This window comes from Homo sapiens, chromosome 9, assembly GCF_000001405.40.
Source record: "Homo sapiens chromosome 9, GRCh38.p14 Primary Assembly".
Taxonomy (NCBI): domain Eukaryota; kingdom Metazoa; phylum Chordata; class Mammalia; order Primates; family Hominidae; genus Homo; species Homo sapiens.
In genome coordinates this window covers 35,472,361-35,497,256 of record NC_000009.12, presented here as the reverse complement: position 1 = coordinate 35,497,256, position 24,896 = coordinate 35,472,361, and the positions used below count along the sequence as shown (strand labels likewise).

The following is a 24,896-nucleotide window of genomic DNA, read 5'->3' as shown; positions in this document are numbered from 1 at the left end:
TCAATTAATGGGTTCAACATATCCACAATGTACTGCTGTGTCGTATCTCTCTTCCCTCAATGAGAAATCATGACAACTTGGCCAGATGCATCTGAACAGTCTACACCGAACCTGTCATCTAGAAACTTGTACTCACTCTCTAAGGGGAAGGACAGGAGAGGTGCAGATCGTCAAACTTTACATGGGTTGGATGCTCAAGTACTTGCCCATTAAAGATGCTTGACTGTGTAGTCACTATTCGTTTTGTGAGGATTAAATGCCAGATTCAAGTATACATACTCATAGTTTAATCTCAGCTATGCCAGGTGTGCTCAGTATCAGTGGGGAAGATGAGCAATAAAGACAATTTTAACCTTAGCGTCCTCTAGGCAAAAACATAACTGTCTTTTGTACAGCTGTCAAGTGAGTGGCCATGTGTCAGGGCCATTTCCACAATAACACCATGTAGTGCATGGATCTGTTACATATTGTTTTACTATAGTATATCCAGCTTAATCAGGTGCAGGGCGACAGTTGAAGGAGTACTCCTGGAAAATGCCTAAGATATGTAGATCTCTAGGATCTTGCACCTTCTGGTGGTTGCATGAAATTCTTCAGAGGAATCATCAGTGATAGTAAATTTACATGTTACATTCATAACAACTCTTATGGGAAATTTAGGATATTCAAATAGGACAACACCAGGAATTGACGTATCACAGAACTTGGTTTACAACAGTCCGAGCATGGATCCCATGCATCACCTTCAGCAGGAGGGGCAGATGGGCTGGCCAAGTGCAAGCTTGATAGAGCGGGATAAGTGACTGCAGGTGCAAGAGACATAGCATCTCTAAGGTTAGCCAACCCTTGGGGAGCCTTTGTAGAAACAAAAGAAGATTTAATGCACCGAGCTTTGTTTCTACGAAGATGAACCTGTTATTTATGGCTCAACTGGTGATACTGCCTGACTTAATTTTAAGTCGAGTTTCTCTAGAGACTTCTGTTTCCTGTTGATTCTCTGTGATCCTCTCTGAGAGCTTCCTGAGAACCCGCTCGATTGAAGTTTGGCTCTCTCATGCCTCAACCTCTGCAGCCTCGAGGTAGGTCTCCACTTGTTGCATGCTTCTCGTTCGGACTCTGTCTAGATCTAAGCCCTCCTCCTCCACTGCTTACTCAACCACTGACTCGAGAGTTTCTCTGGTTACTAGCTCGCTCATCACTCTCTGATGCTTCTTTTGCTTTGGTGTAATTTTCTTCATCTGTTTTGGAGCAACTTTATCCAATCAGCTGTATGCCTAAACACTAACAATGAACAATCTGAAATGGAAATTAAAACAATTCCATTTACAGTAACATCAAAAAGAATAAAATACTTAGGAATGAACTTAACCACGGAAGTGAAAGACTTGTACACTGAGAAATACAAAACATTGCTGGAAGAAATTAGACATAAATAAATGAAAAAACATCTGGTGATCATGAATTGGAAAACTTGCTATCATTAGAGGTGTCAGTATTACCCAAAGTCAGCTAGAGATTCAATACAATCCCTATCAAAATCCCAACAATGTTTTTTGCATAAATAGTAAAATCCATCCTAAAATTCATATGGAATCTTAAGGGATCCTGAACAACCAAAACAATCTTGAAAAAGAAAACCAAAGTTGGAGGACTTACATTCTTGATTTTCCAAACTTACTACAAAGCTACAGTAATCAAAACAGTGTTTTATCAGCATAAAGATAAACATAAAGACCAATGGAAGAGACTAGAGAGCCCAGAAATAAACCCTCACATATCTGGTCAGATGAGTTTTGACAAGGGTGTGAATACCATTCAGTGGGGAAAGGTCAGTCTTTTCAACAAATGGTGTTGGAAAAACTGGATATCCACAAGCAAATGAAATAAGTTAGACCCTTATCTTACATTACATACAAAAATTAACTCAAAATGGATCAAAGACCTAAAGATAAGAGCTAAAACTATATGTATAATATATATAATATATAAAAAATATATTTTATATATTATATATATCATATATAATATAAATATATACTTTATATATAATAAATTATATTATAATAAAATATATTATATATATTTAATAAAATATATATATATAGTATATATAATGTATAATATATACTATAGTGTATATAATGTATAATATATACTATAGTATATATAATATATACTATATATAATATATACTATAGTATATATTATATATACTATAGTATATATAATATATAAAATATATACTGTAGTATATATAATATATAAAATATATATTATATAATATATATAAATTTTATATATGTATAATATATATTATATATAAATTTTATATAATATGTATAATATATATTATATATAAAAAACAAGAAAACAGAGGGAAAGCTTCATGTCACTTAATTTGGCAATGATTCTTGGGTAAGACAAAATGCACAGGTAACAAAAGAAAAATTAGATAAATTAGATTTCAAATTTAAAAACTTTCGTGCATCAAAGGACACTTTTAACAGAGTGAAAGGCAATCCATGGAATAGGAGAAAATATTTGCAAATCATACATCTGAGATGGATTAATGTCCAAAATGTATTAAAAAACTCTTACAACTCAACGACAAACAACCCAATCCAAGAATGGGCAAAGGACTTGAATAGGCATTTCTCCAAAGATATACAAATGGCCGATAGGTATGAAATACATGAAAAAATGCTCGATATCTTTTCATTAGAGAAATATGAATCAAAATCATGAGATATCACTTCACACTGCTTAGGATGGTTATATTACTATTATTATTTTGAGATGGAGTTTTGCTCTGTCACTCAAGCTGGAGTGCAGGGGCATGAGCTCAGCTCACTGCAACCTCAGCCTCCCCGGTTCAAGCCATTCTCCTGCCTCAGCCTCCTGCCTCAGGGATTATAGGTGTGCGCCACCATGCCTGGCTAATTTTTGTATTTTCAGTAGAGATGGAGTTTTACCATGTTGGCCAGGCTGGTCTTGAACTCCTGACCTTAGGTGATCCGCCCGCCTCGGCCTCCCAAAGTGCTGGGATTACAGGCGTGAGCCACCATGCCCAGCCTAGGATGGTTGTTATTTAAAAAAAAAAAAAGAAAACAAGTGTTGCCAAGGATGTGGAAAAATTGGAGCCCTTATGCATTGCTGATGAGAATGTAAAATGCTATAGCCACTGTGGAAAACAGTGGTTCCTCAAATAAATAAATAAATAAATAAACATAAACATAAAATTACCATACAATCCAGCAACACCACTTCTGGGTATATACCCACAAGAACTAAAAGCAGGGACTCAAACATATCTGTACACTCATGTTCACATCAGCATTTTTCATAATAGCCAAAAGATAGATGCAACCAAAGTATCCATCAAAAGATGAATAAACAGAATATAGTGTATACATACAATGGAATATTATTCAGCCTTTAAAAGGAGTGAAATTCTGGCCAGGTGCAGTGGCTCACACCTGTAATCCCAGCACTTTGGGAGGCTGAGGCTAGTGGATCACTTGAGGTCAGAAGTTCGAGACCAGCCTGGCCAACGTGGTGAAACCCCCTCTCTACTAACAATACAAAAATTAGCCGGGCGTGGTGGCGTGCACCTGTAATTCCAGCTACTCAGGAGGCTGAGGCATGTGAATCACCTGAACTGGGAGGCAAAAGTTGCAGTGAGCCAAGATCGTGCCACTGCACTCTAGCCTGGTTGATGGAGGGAGACTCTGTTTCAAAAAATAAATAAATAAAAATAAAAGGAGGGAAGTTCTGATACAGGCTATAAAGTGGATGAACTTTAGACATTATGCTAACCAACTGCAGCACTATTTACAATAGCAAAGCCACGGAATCAACCTAAATACCCATCAATGACAGACCAGATAAAGAAAATGTGGTATATATACACCATGGAATACTATGCAGCCATAAAAAAGAATGAGATCATGTCTTTTGCAGAAACATAGATGGAGCTGGAGGCTATTATCCTTAGCAAACTAACAGAAACAGAAAACCAAATACTGCATGTTCTCACTTATAAGTGAGAGCTAAATGATGGGAATGTATAAACACAAAGAAACAAACAGCAGACACCAGGGTCTTCTTGAGGGTAGAAGGAGGGAGAGGAGCAGAAAAGATAACTATTGGGTACCAGGTTTAATACCTGGGTGATGAAATAATCTGTACAACAAACCCCTGTGAAATGAGTTTATCTATATAACAAACCCTCATATGTACCCCTGAACCTAAAATAAAAGTTAAAAAAAAACCCAAAAAACAAAAAAAGGCATTATGCTAACCGAAATAAACCAGTCACAAAGAGACAAATAGTGCATGATTCCACTTATATGAGGTACCCCCAGTAGTCAAATTCAAAGATAGAAAGTAGAATGGTGGTTGCCTGGGGCGGAGTAGGGAGAAATGGGGAGTTAGCATCTTACTGGTACAGAGTTTCAGTCTGGGAAGATGAAAAAAAGTTCTGGAGATTGTTATCAGTAATGGTTGTACAATAATGTGAATATATTTAATGCCACTTAAGAATTATTACAATGGTAAATTCTATGTTATATATATATATATTACCACCATAAAGAGTAAATATGGTACAGCACAGGTTCTGCTGAGTTATTTTGTTGTTGTTAGGATTCCCTTCTACCCCATCACCTAGCTCTATCAGAGCAATGTTGACATCTGGCTACTCAAAATGATGCTCTCGTTTCGTATGACGGACTCATTTGACAAAAATTATATTAAATGCCAATGTCTGAATGGGTGTTTTTTTTTTTTCCTGGGTAACTTCAACACTGATCAATCAAGACCATTTCTAGATAGCCTGCCCTTACCCTAACATGAAGTGAACCATCTCTTCAGTCAAGTGACTTTTAGCAGGGTGCATAGTCATTGTGTATGAGTAACAGGAAGAAAAGGGTGAGTTATTATCCTAAATTTGCAGATAAGCCCAGAGAGAAAAATAGAACACATAAGCCCTCCCATGAACTTGCCAGATTTAGCAAGTAAAAATACAGGACTCCCTGTTGTTTATTTGAAATTCAAATTTAACTGGGCACTCTGCGTTTTATCTGGCAACACTGAAGTATTGGAGGTGAGGAGAAAAATAACCCAGGGTGTTCTGGGGTAACTGAGGTCTTAACAGGAAGCCTAGACAGGAAAAAGTAGAAAAGGCCATTAAAAAGATACTGTTAAAAAAAAATTGTATTGCTTAATCCATCCAGATCAGGAGCCCCTCCCCACACTGGGTTTCTATGATCCAAGGCTTTATTTTGAGACAGAGCATTGCTCTGTCACCCAGGCTGGAGTGCAGTGGCATGATCTCAGCTCACTGCAACATCTGCCTCCCAGGTTCAAGGGGTTCTCCTGCCTCAGCCTCCTGAGTTGCTGGGACTTCAGCCTCCTGAGTTGCTGGGACTACATGTGCACACCACCATGCCCGGTAATTTTTGTATTTTTAGTAGAGATGGGGTTTCACCATGTTGGCCAGGCTGATCTTGAACTTCTGACCTCTAGTGATCCGCCCACCTGGGCCTCCCAAAGTGCCGGGATTACAGGCTGAGCCACTGTGCCTGGCCTGATCCAAGACTTTATAAAGACATGTAAGAGGGTGGGAGACAGAAAGCGGAAAAGGATACATCAAAACTAGCAATGGATGAATGAGAACATGTCCAGCCTCCAGTTAAGGCAACTGTGGCTTCAAAAAGGAATCTTAAATACCAGCACAGAAATCAGAGGGATCCTAACCTGGCTCAAAACAGAAGAGAAACAGTGGCTGGCCATACAGCAGGACGGGCATAACTAACAGAATACCAGGTATACTGTTTGGATCTGCTCTTCCTTCCATTAAGCCATCCACCACTGCTTAATATCTAAGGAGCCGGCTAAGAAAATCCAGTCACTACTTTTATTTGCTAATACTTTGAGCCCCAGTTACAATAATGCCACTACTAATTAGGTAACTACTTTCTACCTTATCAACTCCTACAGCTTTCCAGCCATTGTTTCATCCCTCAGCGATACCACCTGCTTCCGCGTGGAACCCAAACCCCCAGGAAACTAAATCTGCTCAGGTCACCCACCTAGGAATAAATAAAAACAGGTTTCAGGCCCTTTGTCCTTTGTAAATTCCGCCTTTTTTTTTTTTTTAAGGCCTGTGTTCTTTATCACGGACACTGTTCACATAGTGGTAATCCTTGCCTGACTCAGATCTACTTGTTCCTGCGTTTCATTCCTCCGCTGCTCAATTACTTGTTCAAAACGCAAAGGACAACTGGTAGTGAAGACCCTCCACCAGCAACACTACCATGTGCCAGGCACCGTGCTGGGGACCGGGGATACAAAGATGAGTAGTGTACCGTCCTTGCCCCCAGGACAGTTCCCCGTGTCCGCAGGGCCGGCCTGGAGGGCCACAGCCAACTGTGGGCAACAGGATCACCGTGCCCTTCGCGGCAAGTGAGTGCAGTAGTAGGGGACGGTTACTGCCAAGCCAAAGGTTTTCTCCAGGTAAAACTGGATGACAGAGAGACAGAGACTGAAGCAACGCCGGCGCCGGGCGGATAATAAAGGGAGGCAGGGGCTAAAAGGGTGGAGGGAGCAGAGGACCCGGCCGGGAACTGGCAGTAGGGAGGCCCCCGCTGCAGTCGCCGGCCTGGGTGCCGGGCGGCCACGCTTCCCCAAAGCCGTCACAGGGACTTGGGGTACCAAGGTGACTACTGGGCGCGAGTCGTTTTGTGGGGGGAGGGTGTCCCCAAGGGGGCAGTTTGAGGAGACGGTTGGGGATGCATCTGGGGTGGCGCCCAAAGGGACGGTGGGTGCTGGGTGTTTGAAGGTCCGGTGGACGCAGAGCTGAAGGGTCAGGAGAAGGCCAAGGGTCAGAAGGGCTGGGGACGAGGTCTGCCCAGGGGGTCGGGGCGGACGCAGAGGGCGGGTGCAGCCGAGGGGGAAGGGCTGAAGGGAAGGGCAGGCGCTGAAGGCACATAGGTGGGAAGACAGGCCCTCCCCTAAGGGAGACCTTGGAACGCGGGGCAGTGGGTCTGTGGGACCCTGCCCGCCTCCGGAGAGGCGTTCCTACCTCGTTTCTCGCCTCAGCCTCGTCCTTCCGCGCCGGCGGCGGCGGCGGCGGCGGCGTGTCTCGCCCTCCAGGGGTCGCGTTGCAGGCTAGAGGCGCCGGCGGCCCCTCCCTCCGGGCGGGTTGGAAAGGCCGGCCCCTGTCGGCGTGGCGCGATGGTCCGATCTGGGTTGCCCTCAGGCCGCCCCTCCGGGCGGCGCGTTGGTTCGGTCCGCCCGGCCTAAGGTGCTCGCCCCCTCCCCGGCTCCCGCAGCGATGGGCGCAGCCGAGTCACGCGCAGAGCTTTCCCGCTAAGGGAGCGGAGAGGCTTCCGCCGTGGCCCAATCTTCTGCGGCCCGCGCCCGCCCCCGCGGGGTGGTGCCTGGCGACGCGCGGCTCCCGGGTGCTGGAACCCAGGGAAACCTTCCGCGGGCCTCCAGGGCCGGTGGGTGTGAGTCCCAGCTTCGCCTGAGGCGGCGGTTCTCAACGCTGGCTTCCCAGTAGAACCTAGTGTGGAAACTAACCAAACAACAGAAGGAGGGCTGACCTCACACTGGACCGACTCAGAACCACTGGGGTGGAGTGGGGTGGGGTGAGGTGGGGTTGGCCTCCAGTGCATAGCCAGGGTTCGGAACCCCTGATGAAACGTAGAACCCATGCGCCCCCTGCCCTTCAGGGCCGGATGTGTGGGGGACATGGAAGATGCCTGTGTGTGACTCCTGCTGTTTACAGCCAGAGGGGGATGGGGCAGGCAGTCCTGCAAATGTTATGGGAAACCCACTGTATTAGTCCGTTCTGACACTGCTATGAAGAAATACTATGAAGGAAAGAGGTCTGACTCACAGTTCCGCATTGTTGGCGAGGCCTCAGGAAGCTTATAATCATGGCAAAAGGCAAAGAAGTAGCCATCCTTTTCGCAGGGTGGCAGGACAGAGTGAGTGCAGGCAAGGGAAATGCCAGACGCTTATAAAATCATCAGATCTTGTGGGACTCACTCACTGTCACGAGAAGGGCGCAGGGGAAACCAGCCCCATCATCCAATTACCTCCACCTGTTCCCGCCCTTGACACAGGGGGATTATGGGAATTACAATTCAAGATGAGATTTTGGGTGGGGACACAGCCAAACTGTTACAGGTAGTTAGGCATGAGCGGGGCAGGAGAGGGTTCTCCCCTGCTACCCACTAGGGATGTTGGGTGATGGTTCTGAGGCAGGAGAATAGGGACTGGAGGCAGGGAACCTAAGACTGGTTCATGCCAACTTCCTGGAACTAAATTGAAAGGAAAACCCTAACTTTCCACACCTAAGTAACAAACCCCCCACCCAACTTTTCTGCCCAGCAGATGGGAAATTGGCTATCTGCAACCAATTAGACTGACTGCAGCCGAGTCTAACTTTGCATAGAAGTATAACTTTGTAACTTCACCCTAGCCTCTGATTGGTTGCTTCTTGCAACCAATCAGATGTTTGCACAGGTGTGCGACCTTTGTAACTTCACTTCAGCCTCTGCTTGGCTGCTTTCTGCAACCAATCAGACTGATTGCAGGCTACGAATTCATTTACATGAGGTGAGCATGAAGTGGCGGGTAACTTCTAGGGGGTATTTGGACCCAAGAAGATTCTGTTTCCTGGCCCTTGAGCCGCTGCTCCGGCTGCTCCCACACTGTGGAGTGTGCTTTCGTTTTCAATACATCCCTGCTTTCCTTCTTTTGTTCCTTCATTCTTTCTTTGCTTTGCTGGGCGTTTTGTCCAATTCTTTGTTCAAAACGCCAAGAACCTGGACAACTTGCAGTCAGACCCTCTACCAGTGACAGTTCCATAATTACCTCATTGCTTCTTTAAAAAGGATAATTCGGCTGGGCCAGGGAGAGGCCATTTCCTGATGGTCCACACATGTTAACATCAAAATGCTAATTGAATGCAGGCCTCAGGGAGAAGCAACTTTCTGGGCATGCGTGTTAAGAGACAAAAATGGTGACGTATGATCTCCTGGGGGCACCCTCCACCGGAAAACGGGAAGGAAAGCACTGCGCATTCGGGAAGCCCACTCTAAGGGAAGAATCATGGGAAAGAGGCCAGCCTGTAAAAGTCCTAGGATCTTGGTTAGGCACTTGACCTTCTCTCTTTAACCTTCACGTGCCCGCTTGGGTTTCTTCCAAGCGCACCTTCCTTTCTTTCCTGTTCTAAGGCCTTTTTAAATAAACTTCCATTCCTACTCTGGAACTTGCCTTGGTCTCTTTTTCTGCTTTCTGCCCCACAGTCGAATTCTTTCTTCTGATGAAGCAAGGACTAAAGTTGCTACAGACCCATAAGGATAGGCTGCAGGTAACTTGGGGTAACTCAGACCTCTTCCACCACTAACAAAACCATATCACCCATTGAGAAGACTCTTAGGCTAGACGCGGTGGCTCACGCCTGTAATCCCAGCACTTTGGGAGGCTGAGGCGGGCGGATCACCTGAGGTCAGGAGTTTGAGACCACTAGCATGGTAAAACCCCGTCTCTACTCAAAATACAAAAATCAGCCGGGTGTGGTGGCGCATGCCTGTAATCCCAGCTACTCGGGAGGCTGAGGAAGGAGAATCACTTGAACCTGGGAGGCGGAGGTTGCAGTGAGCTGAGATTGCGCCATTGCACTCCAGCCTGGGCAACAGAGCAAGACTCTGTCTCAAAAAAAAAAATAGAAGACTCTGTTCTAGGTTCCATACTCACTGAAAGAGTTAGAGACTGGGGTCACAGTCAAGGAAGCAGATAAATGTCAGGATATGTAGCTTGTCTTCAGGCTTCACAGAAGTGGTGTGAGCTGAATTTTGAAGAATGAGTGGGAGGTAAAGAGAGAATTGGCATGTGCAAAAGAACTGAGGGGCAAAATGACCAATGTGATTGAGAAGTGTGGGAGGCAACGGAGACAGCTGAGGAGAGCTGGTCAGGGTTTGGTGATGAAACGCCTATGACTACTAAGGAGTTGGGAGAGATACTGAAGGGCTTTATTGCAGAGGCAGGAATGACAAGATCAAATATGAATGTTAGAAATAAAGTTCTAAGGGCTTAAATAAGGGTGACATGGAGAGAGCTAGCATTGCCAGTGGGGAACCAATGAGGAATTGCATGTTTGCACAGTGTGATCCCCCAGTTAAATAGTCTGGGTTGGGGAATTAAGCCAAACCAGGCCAATTAGAATTACTTCTCTAAGAATTTGGAATTGGGAGACAAAGAGCTACATCTCTGCTCAGACTTAAATTGGACTTAAGGGTAATTTGGGAGCTATGCAGTAGTCATCTTCTACTTGCCCATTTGGCCTGAGCAGCATTGAAAACCAGTTTGCTGAGAAAGAAGATCAATCAGTTGCACACAGAGAAGCAAGTCTAGACACAAAAAGACTGCTCCCTAGGTTCTTGGGACCTTCCAGCAGCTGGTTCCACTTCTTTCTGAGGCCCAGCAGGATTCCTTCCCCAGGATCATGATGCATCCTTCTATCCATTCATAGGAATCTCATTTTTGGCTTCAGCGAGTGTGGGTTACTTCCTGTTGTTTGTGTTAAAGAATAACTTTCAAAAAGGTAAAATAATGAGCCTTATGCAAGTATTTTTATTTTTTATTTTTTGAGACAGGTTCTCTGTTACCCAGGCTGGAGTGCAGTGGTGCGATCATGGCTCACTGCAGCCTCGACTTCCGGGCTTCAGCGATCCTCCCACCTCAGCCTCCAGAGTAGCTGGGACTAAAGATATTTTTTGCATTTTTGGTAGAGACAGGGTTTTGCCATGTTACCCAGGCTGGTCTTGAACTCCTGAGCTCAAGCAATCCACCCGCCTCCACCTCTTAAAGTGCTGGGATTACAGACATGAGCCACTGAGCCTGGCAGAGCCTTATACAAATATACAATGAACATATTTCAAATTTTTTATTTAACTAATGAGGGAACCAGTAAGATACTAAAACCAGTTCAAATGAAGATTTGACTTAGAAATGTCTTTTCTCTAATGGACAAAATTTATTTGCATCACCCAGAACAGGAATCGTTTGCACTGTTATGGGCAGAAAATCTTTTGTATTATTTATTGTCAGTATTCTGAAGTTAACTTCTAACTCCAACGAGTTAGAAAATAGCTTACTTGTAAAATAGGAACCTAGTCAAAGGAAATCAAAGGCTCTCACCGCTAATATAATCAAATAATTCCCAAAGATTCTTAACAGCACCCAACATTCCATTAAAAAGACACCCATTTCAAAGTATTTCTTAAGTTTTCCAGACACTTGCAAATCAAAGAATATACGAAAACACAGAGACATAAGAAAGCATGATGCTGGCCGGGTGCGGTGTCTCACACCTGTAATCCCAGCACTTTGGGAGGCCAAGGCAGGCACATCACCTCAGATCAGGAGTTCAAGATCAGCCTGGCCAACATGGTGAAACCCCGTCTCTACTAAAAATACAAAAATTAGTTGGGCATGCTGGCAGGTGCCTGTAATCCCAGCTACTCAGGAGGTTGAGGCAGGAGAATCGCTTGAACCCGGGAGGTGGAGGTTGCAGTGAGCTCAGATTGCACCATTGCACTCCAGCCTGGGTAACAAGAGCGTAACTCCATCTCAAAAACAAACAAACAAAGAGGCTGGGCACGGTGGGTCATGCCTGTAATCCCAGAACTTTGGGAGGCAAAGGTGGGTGGATCACCTGAGGTCAGGAGTTCGAAACCAGCCTGACCAACATGGTGAAAAGCCCACCTCTACTAAAAATACAAAATTAGCCAGGCATGGTGGCACATGCCTGTAATCCCAGCTACTTGCCTCTCTGAGGCAGGAGAACTGCTTGAACCTGGGAGGTGGAGGTTGCAGTGAGCCGAGATCACACCATTGCACTCCAGCCTGGGCAACAAGAGTGAAACTCTGTCTCAAAAAAAAAAAAAAAAACAAAGAAAGCATGATGCCTTAGGGAAACTCAAGTAGTATGGGCATTAGTTAAGCATGGGCAAAGTGTAGGAGGGAGGCAACAGCAAGATTAGGAAGGGCCTTGTATGTGTGTTTGGGAGTTTGGATTTTATTTTCTTGAGATGGAGTCTTGCTCTGTCACCCCAGGTGGAATGCAGTGGTGTGATCTCGGCTCACTGCAACCTCTGCCTCCTGGGTTCAAGTGATTCTCCTGCCTCAGCCTCCCGAGTAGCTGGGATTACAGGAGCCCGCCACCACGCCCAGTTTCACCATGTTGGCCAGGCTGGTTTTGTACTTCTGACCTCAGGTGATCTACCCGCCTCAGCCTCCCAAAGTGCTGGGATTACAGGCATGAGCCACCATGCCCAGCTAAGTTTGGATTTTATTCTGAAGGCTGTTGGCACTATTATTTCATGCAGGGGAGTGATGTGAACATATCTGAGCTTTAGAAATCTCACTTCAGTAGGAGTGTGGATATTGAATTACAGGAAGGTAATCAATCAACCAGTTAGGAGATTGATAATTATGATGAGAACTGAAAGAGTCTGAATTAGGGCAGTGGCTGAAGGCTTAGATAAGAGGAGATAGATTCAAGGATGATTTAGGGTATAGAAATCTGTAGAATTTAGTGATTAATTGAATGTGTCATGGGGGTGGGTGGGGTAACATACAGCAAATAGTCTTGAATGACTCCCAGGATCCTCCAAATGATGTGTCTTTTCCAAAACGCTTTTCATGAATCTTAGAAGATTTGGTAGATAATTTGGAGCTGGAATCACAGGGATATGTTGGGGCTAGGACAGTGTTCCTTGTTCATTTCTTTGGGGCACCACGAACTGCGCCTATAGAAGATGCCAAACTTAATAAATGCCTGTTCTGACTGCTCCACCAACCCGTCATTCCCATCTTTACCTCTCCTCAGGCCTCCCTATTCCCTGAGACACAACAATATTGAAATCAGGCCAATTAATAACCCTAAATGGCCTCTAAGTGTTCAAGTGAAAGGAAGAGTCACATATCTGTCACTTGAAATAAAAAGCTAGAAACGATTAAGATTATTGAGGAAGGCATGTCGAAAGCCAAGACAGGCTGAAAGCTAGGCCTCTTATACCAGTTAGCCAAGTTGTGAATGCAAAGGAAAAGTTATTGAAGGAAATTAAAAGTGCTATTCCAGTGAACACACAAATAAGAAAGCAAAACAGCCTTATTGCAGATACAGAGAAAGTTTGAGTGGTCTGTATAGAAGCTGAAACCAGCCACAGTATTCCCTTAAGCCAAAACCTAATCCAGAGCAAGGCCCTAACTCTCTTCAATTCTATGAAGGCTGGGGAAGAAGTTACAGAAGAAAAGTTGGATGCCAACAGAGGTGGGTTCATGAGGTTTACAGAAAGAAGTCGTCTCTATAACATAAAAGTACAAGGTGAAGGAACAAGTGCTGATGCAAAATGTACTTAGTGAATGGTCCTTTTTAGTAGCAACCAGTACTTGTCACTTTAAGTTTCGCTTTAGTAGTTAAAGTGATTTAATGAAATAATTTTTAAAAACTTCAACCTTTACAATTAATGCTTTTCCTTATCTTTCAGCTGGGCTGCTGCATGTGGCCAGGTTCAGTGGGCTTTGTAGATGTCTGTTTTTCTACTTACCCCTCCTCCCTCCTTCAGCTTGCTAATTCTTTTTTCTCCGGGGCTTAAGCAGGACAGGAGAGGGAAGAGATGAAGAAAGCCTTTACTTGACTAATACAGTCATAAACTAATTTTAAGGCTTGGCAGATAAGTTAGGCATGGTGGCTCATGCCTGTAATCCCAGCACTTTGGGAGGCTGAGGCGGGTAGATCAGTTGAGACCAGGAGTTTGAGACCAGCCTGGCTAACATGGCAAAAACCCGTCTCTACTAAAGATACAAAAATTAGCCGGGTGTGGTGGTGTGCACCTGTAATCCCAGCTACTCGGGAGGCTGAGGCAGAATTGTTGGAACCTGGGAGGCAGAGGTTGCAGTGAACCGAAATAGCGCTACTGCACTCCAGCCTGGGCGACAGAGTGAGACTCCATCTCAAAAAAAAAAAAAAAAAAAAAAAAAGGCCTGGCAGGTATCTAAAGTTGACTCGTTTTCAAGAGGTCCTTTTATAGGTTCTTCAGAAATTCTCTCCCCATTGGTGGAGATATCTCTTCTATAGTGAGTTACTTCAGTGTGGGTGAATCTGGCTCCTGTGGTTGGTCACTTACAACTCCATTAAAAATTTCTAGACATTAAAAAACTCAACTTTATTGAGATATAGTTTACATAAAATAAAATGTATAAATCTTAAGTATACAGGTCAATGAATTTTGACAAATACATACCCATGTAACCACCTCCAAAATCGAGATAAAGAAAATTTTCCTTATGCCCCTTCTTTCTTTCTTAGTATAAATCCACAGGCATTTGACAGCATATCCCCTGCTTCTTTCTGCTGAAGTCTCCTCAAAATTTCAGATAATTTATCTAACGAGATCAAGAAACGCTAAAGACATGGCCCATATCCGGTCTATGGGTAGCACTCATGCATCCCTTGCTTATAAATGGGAAGTAATTGTCACTAAATTATACCTTTTTAAATGGTTGATTTTATTTTATGTGATGCCTCGATGGGAATATGTTTGTGTAGGGCCCTGGGAAGGTTTATGCTTGCTCTGAGTATAGGAGATAGGGCCCAAAGTAAAATTCTTAGGTTCCATCTTCTTTTCCCTTCCCCATACTGTCTCTTGTCACCCCCTACCTCTACATATGCTTGTCTGGATTAAAACTTGCAAGAGATGGTGGGAGGCAGGCCTGAGGTTGCTTTTTTTTTCTTTTTCTTGAAATGCTGCAACTCTGGCAGATATCTGGGGGCTCTTTCCTTACCCCTCCTTGCCTTTCTGGGAATAGCCTTCTGGACAATTAAGAGGCTTAGTCCCTAGTGAGAATGAAGGAGCAGGTTTATGCTGGTTTCCCAGGGACTCTAATTCTTCCTAAGTTGCATGAGTACGAGGGAGGAAGAGCACTGACTGCCTCCTTTGGAATTTCCCTAGGGCCTCTATCTTTTTCAAAAAAAGGGTGTTTCTCTTGGACATCCTGGGCTTCACTATCTTGCCAGAAGTGATGAGGGCCCCAAAGCCTTGTTTATGGGAGAATGCATAGGCAGAACGTCGAGTGCTTGAGTGTTTCAGTTTGGTCCAGACTGGGGACTGCTGTGGAAGTCTCCTGCACTCTTGAATTCTGTCAAAAACCTATAGCCAGAGCATGGGGGATAGGGTTTTCATCCACAGAGGCAAAAGCAAAAGAAGGTCATGAATTATATCTGCGTAGATTTTCTGTTGCACTTACTTTGTCCATGCTGATAGGCCAGAATAGTGGTTTAAGAAATTGGTGCCCAATCACAGGCAACATACAGAGGACCACACTGAGGATAATGCTCAGCAGCATTTGCGGCTGGTTCAGAGAATTCCTGACCACACCTGTAAACAGTGAGCCAGGAGGGGAAAGGCTGAAACAGAGCCTGGAGGACCGGGGTAGGACCAGGGGTAGGAGTTACCAGCCAGAACGTAGACACCTCTCTAGTCCAAAGAAGGAAGTTACTGACTTGTAGTTAGTTTAGGCTCCTGAGAAATAATATAAATACAAAAGAATTGTAGTTGGGTCCTTTGTGCAGCCAAAGTCACTGTGAATCCATGTGCCTCTCTCTCCCTCTAAAGGCAGGGCAGGGTAGGGCAGGATAGGAGAGCAGGGGTAAGTTATGAGGGAATCCTAGAGCACTGGCTTGCATCCAAAAATGGGAAAGAAAGCTTTGGAGGAGGAAAAAACAAAAAAATAAAAATAAAAAAGGTAAAAAAAAAAAATTAAAAAAAGAAAAAAAAAGATTTGAAGGAGAAAAATAAGTTAGTGGCCTGACAAAAGGTGAGAGACAGCCAGGTGCGGTGGCTCACGCTTGTAATCCCAGCACTTTGGGAGCCCCAGGCCGGCAGATTGCTTGAGGCCGGGAGTTTGAGGCCACCCTGGCCAACATGGCAAAAACACGTCTCTACCAAAAATACAAAAAAATGAGCAGTGCATGGTGGTGCACAACTGTAGTCCCAGCTAGTGGGGAGGCTGAGGCACGAGAATCGCTTAAACCCAGGAGGCAGAGGTTGCAGTGAGCCAAGATTGCACCACTGCACTCCAGCCAAGGCGACAGAGGTAGAGCAACAGAGTCTCAAAAAATTAAAAATAAAAACAAAAAGATGGGAGCCAACTACATCTACATATCTACTCTCTATATTTTGTCTTCAGCAAAGTGGAGATGAGAGAGAGGGAAAAATTATGGGAGACAACAAGGCGATATGCCACAGCATAAAGGACATTGAACTGGAACCAGGAAACCTAGATTTAAGTCCTTTAATTAAAAAAAAACCCTCCGGTGTCTAAAATGGCTCTAAAAATTGTTGCACTGCCTACCTCTTAGGATGCTGATAAATAGCAAATCTCGTAAGACATTTGAAAATACCTTGGAAACTCAAATAAGGTAACTTATTTCCCTAGCTACATTTTGAGCCCTTTTAGGGCAGAGACCATGTCTTATTTATATCTCTAGCCTAGCACATAGTAATGGCTTCTCGGTAAACATTTATTAAATAAATATACCTGGTTCCCCACCCTCCGCCCACTGGGCAGGGCCTTACCTAGGAATTGGAAGACGTCAGGGAATACTAGACACAAGCCATCGCTGTACAGGAGGAATGACACCCAAAAGTAGAAACCCAGGCTACCCCAGATGACAACATGGTTTATCATTGTCCAGTAGGTTGTCCTCAGGGCGATCTGAAAAGTACCCTCTTATGGGACCTGTAACCTGGGACCTGTCAGCTACCTCCCCCCTCCAATTATGTAATGAAGGTTGCTCCCTTCCCACACTCTCACCCTCTATTCCTCCCACTCTTTCAGAGAGGCCCCCACCCAATCCCCTTACCCCCACCACCACTGGCCACACCTGCATTGCGACCACCCAGATCAAGGAGGTCTGCACCACCAGGGAGAAGGACTGGTAGTCGGAGATGTCCTTCCCATCATTTCGTTCTGCATTGTAAAGAGCCCCCATGGGGACAAAGAACAACACGAAGGAACTGTAGATCCCATGCATTAAACACTTCACAAATTCTTTCTTGTTGAAATAGAGGTTGTGCTGGCCTGGCTCATACAGCTCTGGGAAATGGAGGCTCCATGTCTCATTCACATCCTGGAAGCACCCGAGGGTAAGGAGGGAGGCTCAGGGTCTCTCCATAGAAGGTCCCATCTCCATCAGAGTAGAGGCTTCTCCCCTCACCAGGTCTGCTGCCAGGCTGCCTAGGAGCTTCCTTATGGGTTACTGGAGAAGTGGAACCAGAGAACACAGCAGTGACCACAGACCCTTCCTGAAGTCCTACTCTCTAGGCAAGGATCTGGGTAGTGGAAGGAAGCTGGGAGAAGTTCGGGATGCTGGGAAGGACTTGGAGGGAGTTAGAATTGGGGAGTTATGAAAGGGAGCAACTAGGCTTGTGGGTAGCTGGGAGGGAGGACTGGAGCTTGAGATGGGGGAGGCAGCTGGGACATAAGTCCCCAGGTGTAAGAGTTCTTTCAGTTGAGATGGAGTCTTGCTCTATCACCCAGTCTGGAGTGCAGTGGCACCATCTCGGCTTATTGCAACCTCTACTTCTCAGGTTCAAGCAATTCTCTTGTCTCAGCCTCCTGAGTAGCTGGGATTACAGGTGTGTGCCACCACACCTGGCTAATTTTTATATTTTTAGTAGAGATGGGGTTTCGCCATGTTGGCCAAGCTGGTCTCAAACTCCTGACCTCAAATGATCCACCTGCCTCGGCCTCCCAAAGTGCTGGGGTTACAGGTGTGAGCCACCGTACCCGGCCATAGTTGAATATTCTTTATGCCAAAAGTCAATATGGGAGAAAGCAACATCAATGGGGACCAGTTAGTCTTTTAGAGGTATTCATGTTCTGTGAGGTTTCTCCCACTCCCATAGCTACTGGTGAACTGAAGGTGAAAAAATTACTCAAAGTGGATGTCATTGGATCATCTTCATCTCCTAACTCTGAAACTTTGGATACAAAGCTTGGGGCTGGCTTCAGAGATGGATCCCTAGAATTAGGCCACTGAAGCTGGATGGACTGTTGAGTAATACAACCCACCCCTCTTGTTGTTCTGAGGTTAGCAGTTACTTCCTGGAGAATTTCCTTTAGAGCTATTTCCCATGGAGACCAAGAGCCATGATCCCATGATGTCCTATTTCAGCTACTTTATTCCTTTTTGGAGACTCATTTTCTACTCCATGTGCCCAGGACTAGAGGTTGGGGTAGAAGACAAGGGAGAGGTAGGGTCCCAGGACCCTCAATTTCTGACAGGGACAGACGGTATCCCTTAGTCTGGCTCCTTATGATATAAACTATCACACCCATACTCCCATGCCTGGCCTTCAGGACTCCCTCCCAGGCCCTCCTGCTTTGGCTTATCTCATCCTCATTATCGCTGAAGGAGTCTCTCCTTTTTGAAGTCCCATACGTTACCCAGTCCTACCCCAATAACTCTATTTTCTTTTCTTTATTTTTTTCCATTCATATTCTGCTTATGTTATTTAATTTTTCCTTATTTTTCCATATATATTTTAATTACTTTTATATATACTCAATTTACTGTACAGCACAATTTCCATGTTTCTCTCTACAAAGATAAAATTGATACAGGAAAACTTGGCTAAAACTGAGGATTATTCTCTGTTGAGGAGGATTTTTTACTTTATCTCATGATACCTATCTAGGTGATGAGCTCTTTTCCCCGCTCTGGAAATTATTCCCTTTACACTGGATTTTGTAGAGCCCAGCTCTTGCTGTATTCTTCATTCTTAGGGATATTCCTCAAGGGCCCAGGGGCTTCAACGCTGACCAGGGGCTTGCTGCTGGATCTTACCTGATCAAACAGACTCATGCACAGGACAGGGAGGGAAGTGTAGACCAGACTGTAGCATGTGATAAACCAGGTCTCATAAACTGTCTGGAAGAATACCAAGGAGATTTTGTAGGCTCCTCTCTTCTCTACAGTCCCAGCTCCACCTTCCAGGTCCAAGATAGCCACCTTCATCCCTCGACCCCTGCCCCCCCGCCCCACCCCCACACACATTAACCTACAGCAGGAGAAACCTGACTGAGAATGTTGACCCCAGTCTCTACTTGATCCTACTTTATTAGAACCCTAGGTCCTAGGATAGAGTAAGGCCACACCAAGCTTTCAAGGTGGATCTGGACCAATCCCACCATAACCTATACAGCCCCGCACAGAAAGGACACAGAGTGATTGCTAGGGAATGCTAGCTGTACCCCTGCATTCCTAGGCAGGTAAACCTTTGTACTTTTTTTTTTTTTTTTTTTTGAGATGGAGTCTTGCTCTGTCACCCAGGCTGGAGTGCAGTGGTGTGATCTCAGCTCACTGTAACCTCTGCCTCCTGGGTTCAAGCAATTCTCCTGCCTCAGCCTCCAGAGTAGCTGGGACTACAGGCACCCACCACCACACCCAGTTAATTTTTGTATTTTTTGTAGAGACGGGGTTTTGCCATGTTGGACAGGCTGGTCTTGAACTTCTGACCTCAGTTGATCCACCTGCCTCGGCCTCCCAAAGTGTTGGAATTACAGGTGTGAGCCACTTTGCCCAGTCTTTGGACTCTTTACTTGCTTAGTGGCATTCAGTGGCTTCTGTAGCACTGCATACCGCCTAATATTGGCAAGCAGAATAGACCCAATGACCCTTCCCTGGCTGGACGCTCCATCCTGGGACCTAGAGAGGGCTTTTTCTTTATTAGCCACAAGAGGTCAGCAGCAACACATGCATACACATATGCCTCCCACAAAGCCGACTGGCTTTGCTAGGGCTTGGGAGAATACAAATCTGCTACTATTTGCTGACTGGCCTGTTATTCCTGGACTCTATGGCAACAAAAGTAGGACTCCCAAGATAATTGTTTCTGAGGTTGTTTCTCTTGGGAATCCTTGAGATGCTTCTGAAAAACTTCTCATAGGAAAAGGGACTCCTCTTAGAGCATCAAAATCCAGGTGTTGCTTCTCCCCACTAAGGTGGGGGAGGTTTCACATTCAAATGTGGAATGAATTCATCAAAGTAACAATTGTGTGTGTGTTGGGGTCAGGAGTACAGGCTGTCTGAGTGGGGAAGGAGAAGCAAAGGGAAGCTGTATTTCCGAGTATGGCTATAGGTGAACGCCATATCTGGCCTATCTGGCATGACCCAGAGGCTCCTTGAGGCTTAGCCTGTTCCAAAAAGATGACTTTGGATGCTAAGAAAACTCCAAGATCCAGGAATTTGTTCCCACTACATATGTTTGGAAATTCTAAGTCTCAACATCAGTGAAAACAGCTTAAGGGAAAGTTTAACCCAGGTGTGGTGGCCACGCCTGTAATCCTAGCTACTTAGGAGGCTGAGGCATGACAATCACCTGAGCCTAGGAGGCGGAGGCTGCAGTGAGCTGAGATCGTGCCGCCGCACTCCAGCCTGGGGGATGCAGCCAGACTCCGCGGGGAAAAAAAAAAAAGACGAGCTGAGGGGAAAGAATCATATAAGGGGATAGTCAGATATTAAGAAAGAGAGAATACAGGATTGACTGAGGTTCCTGAAGAAGTAGGAAGGGATGGAAACTACAATATATAGATTAGTACTGAAGGAAAAAGTTATACTTCTTTTGAGACTGAAGGAAAGGAGGTAAAGGCGGGTTAAAATATATGTACAGAGGAGGATATTTAGCTGATAGTTTGGATTTTTCTCAGTAAAATAGAAGGCAGTATCATTTGCTACGTACTGGGGAGCCAGGAGAGTGTGGTAGAAGGTCTGAGAATGGTGATTGTTTAGAAAAGCTGATACGGAGAATAAAATATGAAGCCAATTACAAAATGGTGAAAAATTTGCCAAGTGGCACTGGGACAGAGGACAGTGGAGTCTCTGAATTTGTAATGGTTTTATGATCTCCAAAATAGTGCTTAACACTCTCAAATTAGAAACAGAGCAGGGTCGATGGTTTGGTTAATTCAAGGTTGAGATTTGTTCAGTGATTAAAGAGAAGAAAAGGAGAACTAGTAAGGTACTGAGGATGCTTATGATCCCAGGGTACAGACAGGCAAGCTAGGAAAGGAAGTAAAGTCATAAGGAATTGATAGACTGGAGAAAAAAGAAAGCCAAGGGTTTATAAATCTCCATGAGATAAAAAAGCAGGAATACTTTTAAAAATCTCAAGTACGAGCCATGTACTGAGAATATGGAGGAATAAGGTTTGTGATCAAAGATTGTGAAAAGAAAGTTTATAATTCCACATTAGTACAACTCTGGACAATTACATGGTAACATGGAAATGGGTGATACAGATTTTTTTTTTTTTTTGTCCAAGAGATCATCTGAAGGATTCTTTCAGAGACCTGAAAGAGTCTACAGTGATAGGTCGTCCATAAGGATGACAATACCACCCAAAACAATAGCAGTGGTTGGGAGGGGAGGGAGAAGTTTCAAAGCCCTCAATGAATGGGGTGTAGAAGCCAGAAGCTTCCTAGATATCAACAACAAGAAGAGTTACAGATGAGTATAGCCAGAAGTCATAAGCATCACAGGAAGAAAGATTGTGTAGGAGAGAAAAACTAATGGTTAAACATGGCACAGGATAATGAGGGCAACACCTTTGGGCTTATGGTATCCAGAGTTTATGGTATGCAGAGTATGAGAGAGATGGAAGAAAAAGGAATGTTCTCAGGGAAAATCATGTTTCAATTAATGAAGGGATTGAGGCTATAGGTAAGTTTGTTTATAAGAGAACAAAAATTCCAGTGATTTAGTGAAAAATGTGTTACGGTCAATCAGTAGTGGACAGAAGGAGAGGAAAGAAACTCCAGGAGGGATTTACTCCCTAGAAGCTATAATTTTGCCTATATTGCCAAGGTCATTAGCCAAGCCCCTGGAAGATGATTTAAGGCAAATCACTGAATTTCCTTCCCCTTCCCAATCTCTTTGGATGGACAGGGGTAAGGCAACAGTTGAGAACTGGAGTCAGATGTTTGGTACATAAGTCAAGTGGCTCAGTTTGGAATTGGGTCTAGCAAGACAGAGATAAGGTGAGGAATACCCTGAAGGCAGCAGAAGAACCCCTGTGAAGGGACACTTAAAAACAAATCCATAAACAAAAGCTGGGTCCAATACTAGAGAAAACAGTAAAAACCAACTAGAGATAAGAAGAATGAATAGGAAGATATTTTTATAATTTTATAAAGCCTGTTGAATATGTCACAAATCCTTAAGTTACAAAGGAAAATGACTGATAGATTTGATTACATGAATTAAACACTTCTACACAAAATATTATTTAACAAATTAAAAACCAAAAGACAAAATGGGAAAAATAATTATAACATATGCACCAGAAAAAGGAAGAGCTAGTATTTTTACTGTATAAAGAGCATTTTCAAATAAGAAAAAAAGGCCAAAGAATATGAATAGACAGTTCACAAAGTAAGTGTAAATGGGCAATAAAGAGATGATAAGGGGAAGAAAAATAAGCACATAAAAATGATTCAACCTAATTAGTCATCAAAAAAGGTAAATTAAATAATTAGATACCATTTTTCATCAATTAAATTTCAACAGATTAAAAATTGTTAATACCAGTTCTGACAAGCATATGGGGGAAAACAAAATGTCATATATTTTTGGTGGGATTATAAAGTTATGCGAATCTACCTGGAGGGCAATGTGGCACTATTTAATGTATTAAAACGTGGCTACCTTTTGACCAATGAATTTTACTTCTAGGACTTTATTCTAAAGAAATAATTATCAGAAAAGTAGACAAAATGTATGTTCCATAATGATTACCAAAATGTCATTTGTAATCGCAAAGGAAAATGGAATAAAAATAAGAAATTAAATAAATTAAGGTACAGTGATACAACTGAATAGTGGACACCCATTCAAAATGATGATGTAGACCTAGACCTACCGACATGGAAAGATGACGACAATAATAGTGTCAAGTGAACAAAAGGAAACTGGAAATAGCATGCATACTATGATTTTATCTCCCCCATCTTCTAGATCTAGATGTACATATGTGTGTGTGTATACACATATGAAAAGCATAGGATATACTCCCCAACTTTACACTGGCTATCTAAATGGGATGGAATAATTTTAACTTTCTTCACACATTTCTGTATTATTTAATTTTTTTTTTTACAGTGAGCATGGATTATTTTTTAAAGAGAAAAAGCCAATAAAGCTATTTTTGTTTAAAAAGAACAAACGAAGATCTTCAGAATTAAACATAGGTCATTTATATAATGCTTTCTGATATTACAGGACCAGTAAAAGCTTTAATATTTCAGTGGCTAAGGGAGTCTCGATTTGTATTAAGGATGCTTCTCTGAAGCACAGCCTCACTCAGCTCCCACATGCATTTCCCATGGAGCTGTAATCACTCACCTCAGAGACCGTCACCCTCTGTCCATCCTTGTCATAAGTATCACCTGTTGGTAAGTGAACACAGCAGAGACTTGGCAAGGGTTTTAAAGGAGGGTTTGAATTTCTTTAAATTGTTGTTAAAAAAATATACATATATATCACATAAAACTTGCCATTTTAACTATTTTAAATGTAAAATGCAATGACATTAATTATATTCACAATGTTGTGCAACAATCACCACTATATATTTCCAACATTTTTTCAGCACCCCAAACAGAAACTTCCCATTTTTTCCCATCACCAGCCCCTAGTAACCTCTAGTCTATTTTTTGTCTCTATGAATTTGCCTATTCTAGATAGTTCACATAAGTAGAATCATAAAATTTTTGTCTTTTTGTGTTTAGCTTACATCACTTAGCATAATGCTTTCAAGGTTCATCCATGTTGTAGCATGTATCAAATTTCATTACTTTTTATGGATGATTCACATTCCATTGTATGTATATGCTATACCACAGTTTCTTTATCCATTCATCTGTGGATGGACATGTGGGTTATTTCTATCTCTGGACTTATGCGAATAATGTCACAATGAACGTTGGTATACATGTATCCGAGTTCTTGTTTTCAAGTTTTGGGGGTATATACCTAGGAATCAAATTGCTGGGTCATATGGTGATTTAAAGGAGGGGCCTTAAAAGCTTATTTATTCTGATTCCTTCATCCTAGACTTGCAGTCAAGATGCCTGCCCCCCAGTCTCCTCAGGCCACCTAGCTCCCAGTTCCCAGTAAGCTCCTTTCCCTAAGCCAATGGTAAGAAGAGGTTTGCTTGGGCCTCAACTCTTCTCCCCTAAGTGAGAATAAGATGAAGCTAGAAGTTAGTCACTGGATCTGTGATAGACTTCACACCTCAGGAAGCCCTCCAATCATAAGAGTTACCCAGAAGAGATGTGGACACAGTTTTAGAATGTTTGGGATTCTTGACCAGTGGATGACAGACTGAATAGGGGTAGAAGACATGTCTGATGCCAAGCATGGAAACACTCATGGTCCTTTTCAACTTTACCCAGTATATGGTCAGGTCAGAGAATTAAGAGGCTCACCCAAATCAGCTCATCCAAAAATAAGCCTTCAGAGTTTATATAAGTGAAAATTTGTTTGACATGGTTACCAAACAAATAATAGGAAATATAGGAAATAATAGGAAATATTAGAGTGCTCTAGTCTTTTTTTTTTTTTTTTTTAGACAGGAGTTTCACTCTTGTCACCCAGGCTGGAGTGCAGTGGCATGATCTTGGCTCACTGCAACTTCCACCTCCCGGGTTTAAGAAATTCTCCCACCTCAGCCTCCCAAGTAGCTGGGATTACAGGCATGTGCCACCATGCCTGGCTAATATTTTTGTATTTTTTGTTGAGATGGGGTTTCACC

General features: G+C 43.5%; 1 protein-coding gene, 1 long non-coding RNA gene and 1 pseudogene across 6 annotated transcripts in view, besides 2 other annotated features; 1 reads left to right on the top strand and 2 right to left on the bottom strand.

Annotated features, from left to right (window-relative positions):
* RUSC2 (RUN and SH3 domain containing 2) overlaps nt 1-7,146 on the bottom strand; it is a 71,785-nt gene extending 64,639 nt beyond the window's left edge. For all 4 annotated transcript variants that reach the window (NR_052015.4, XM_047424207.1, NM_014806.5 and 1 more), the window contains exon 1: nt 7,085-7,146. The gene's annotated coding sequence lies outside the window, so the exon portion shown is untranslated. The remainder of the gene's footprint in view (nt 1-7,084) is intronic.
* Nucleotides 5,630-6,138, top strand: LOC105376026 (uncharacterized). The gene is made up of 2 exons (XR_929580.4): nt 5,630-5,826; nt 6,001-6,138. It is a non-coding gene; the product is annotated as an uncharacterized LOC105376026 (long non-coding RNA).
* Nucleotides 7,178-7,477: a silencer, noted in NCBI's record as "silent region_19864". NCBI's record gives its function as "represses an Ori minimal core promoter by ATAC-STARR-seq in GM12878 lymphoblastoid cells {active_cell/tissue: GM12878}" and the evidence as "EXISTENCE:reporter gene assay evidence [ECO:0000049][PMID:35858748]".
* The window catches only part of ATP8B5P (ATPase phospholipid transporting 8B5, pseudogene), a 76,275-nt pseudogene continuing 65,606 nt past the window's right edge, over nt 14,228-24,896 (bottom strand). The window contains exons 14-18 of the transcript NR_003581.2: nt 23,486-23,529; nt 18,932-19,015; nt 16,967-17,341; nt 15,328-15,458; nt 14,228-15,230 (exon numbers count right to left, since the gene is read on the bottom strand). The product of NR_003581.2 is annotated as an ATPase phospholipid transporting 8B5, pseudogene, transcript variant 1 (transcript). The remainder of the gene's footprint in view (nt 15,231-15,327; nt 15,459-16,966; nt 17,342-18,931; nt 19,016-23,485; nt 23,530-24,896) is intronic.
* Nucleotides 15,094-15,328: a silencer, noted in NCBI's record as "fragment chr9:35481926-35482160 (GRCh37/hg19 assembly coordinates)". NCBI's record gives its function as "represses an EF-1alpha promoter that drives an FKBP-Casp9 reporter gene in an ReSE screen in phorbol 12-myristate 13-acetate-treated (for megakaryocytic differentiation) K562 erythroleukemia cells {active_cell/tissue: K562(+PMA)}" and the evidence as "EXISTENCE:reporter gene assay evidence [ECO:0000049][PMID:32094911]".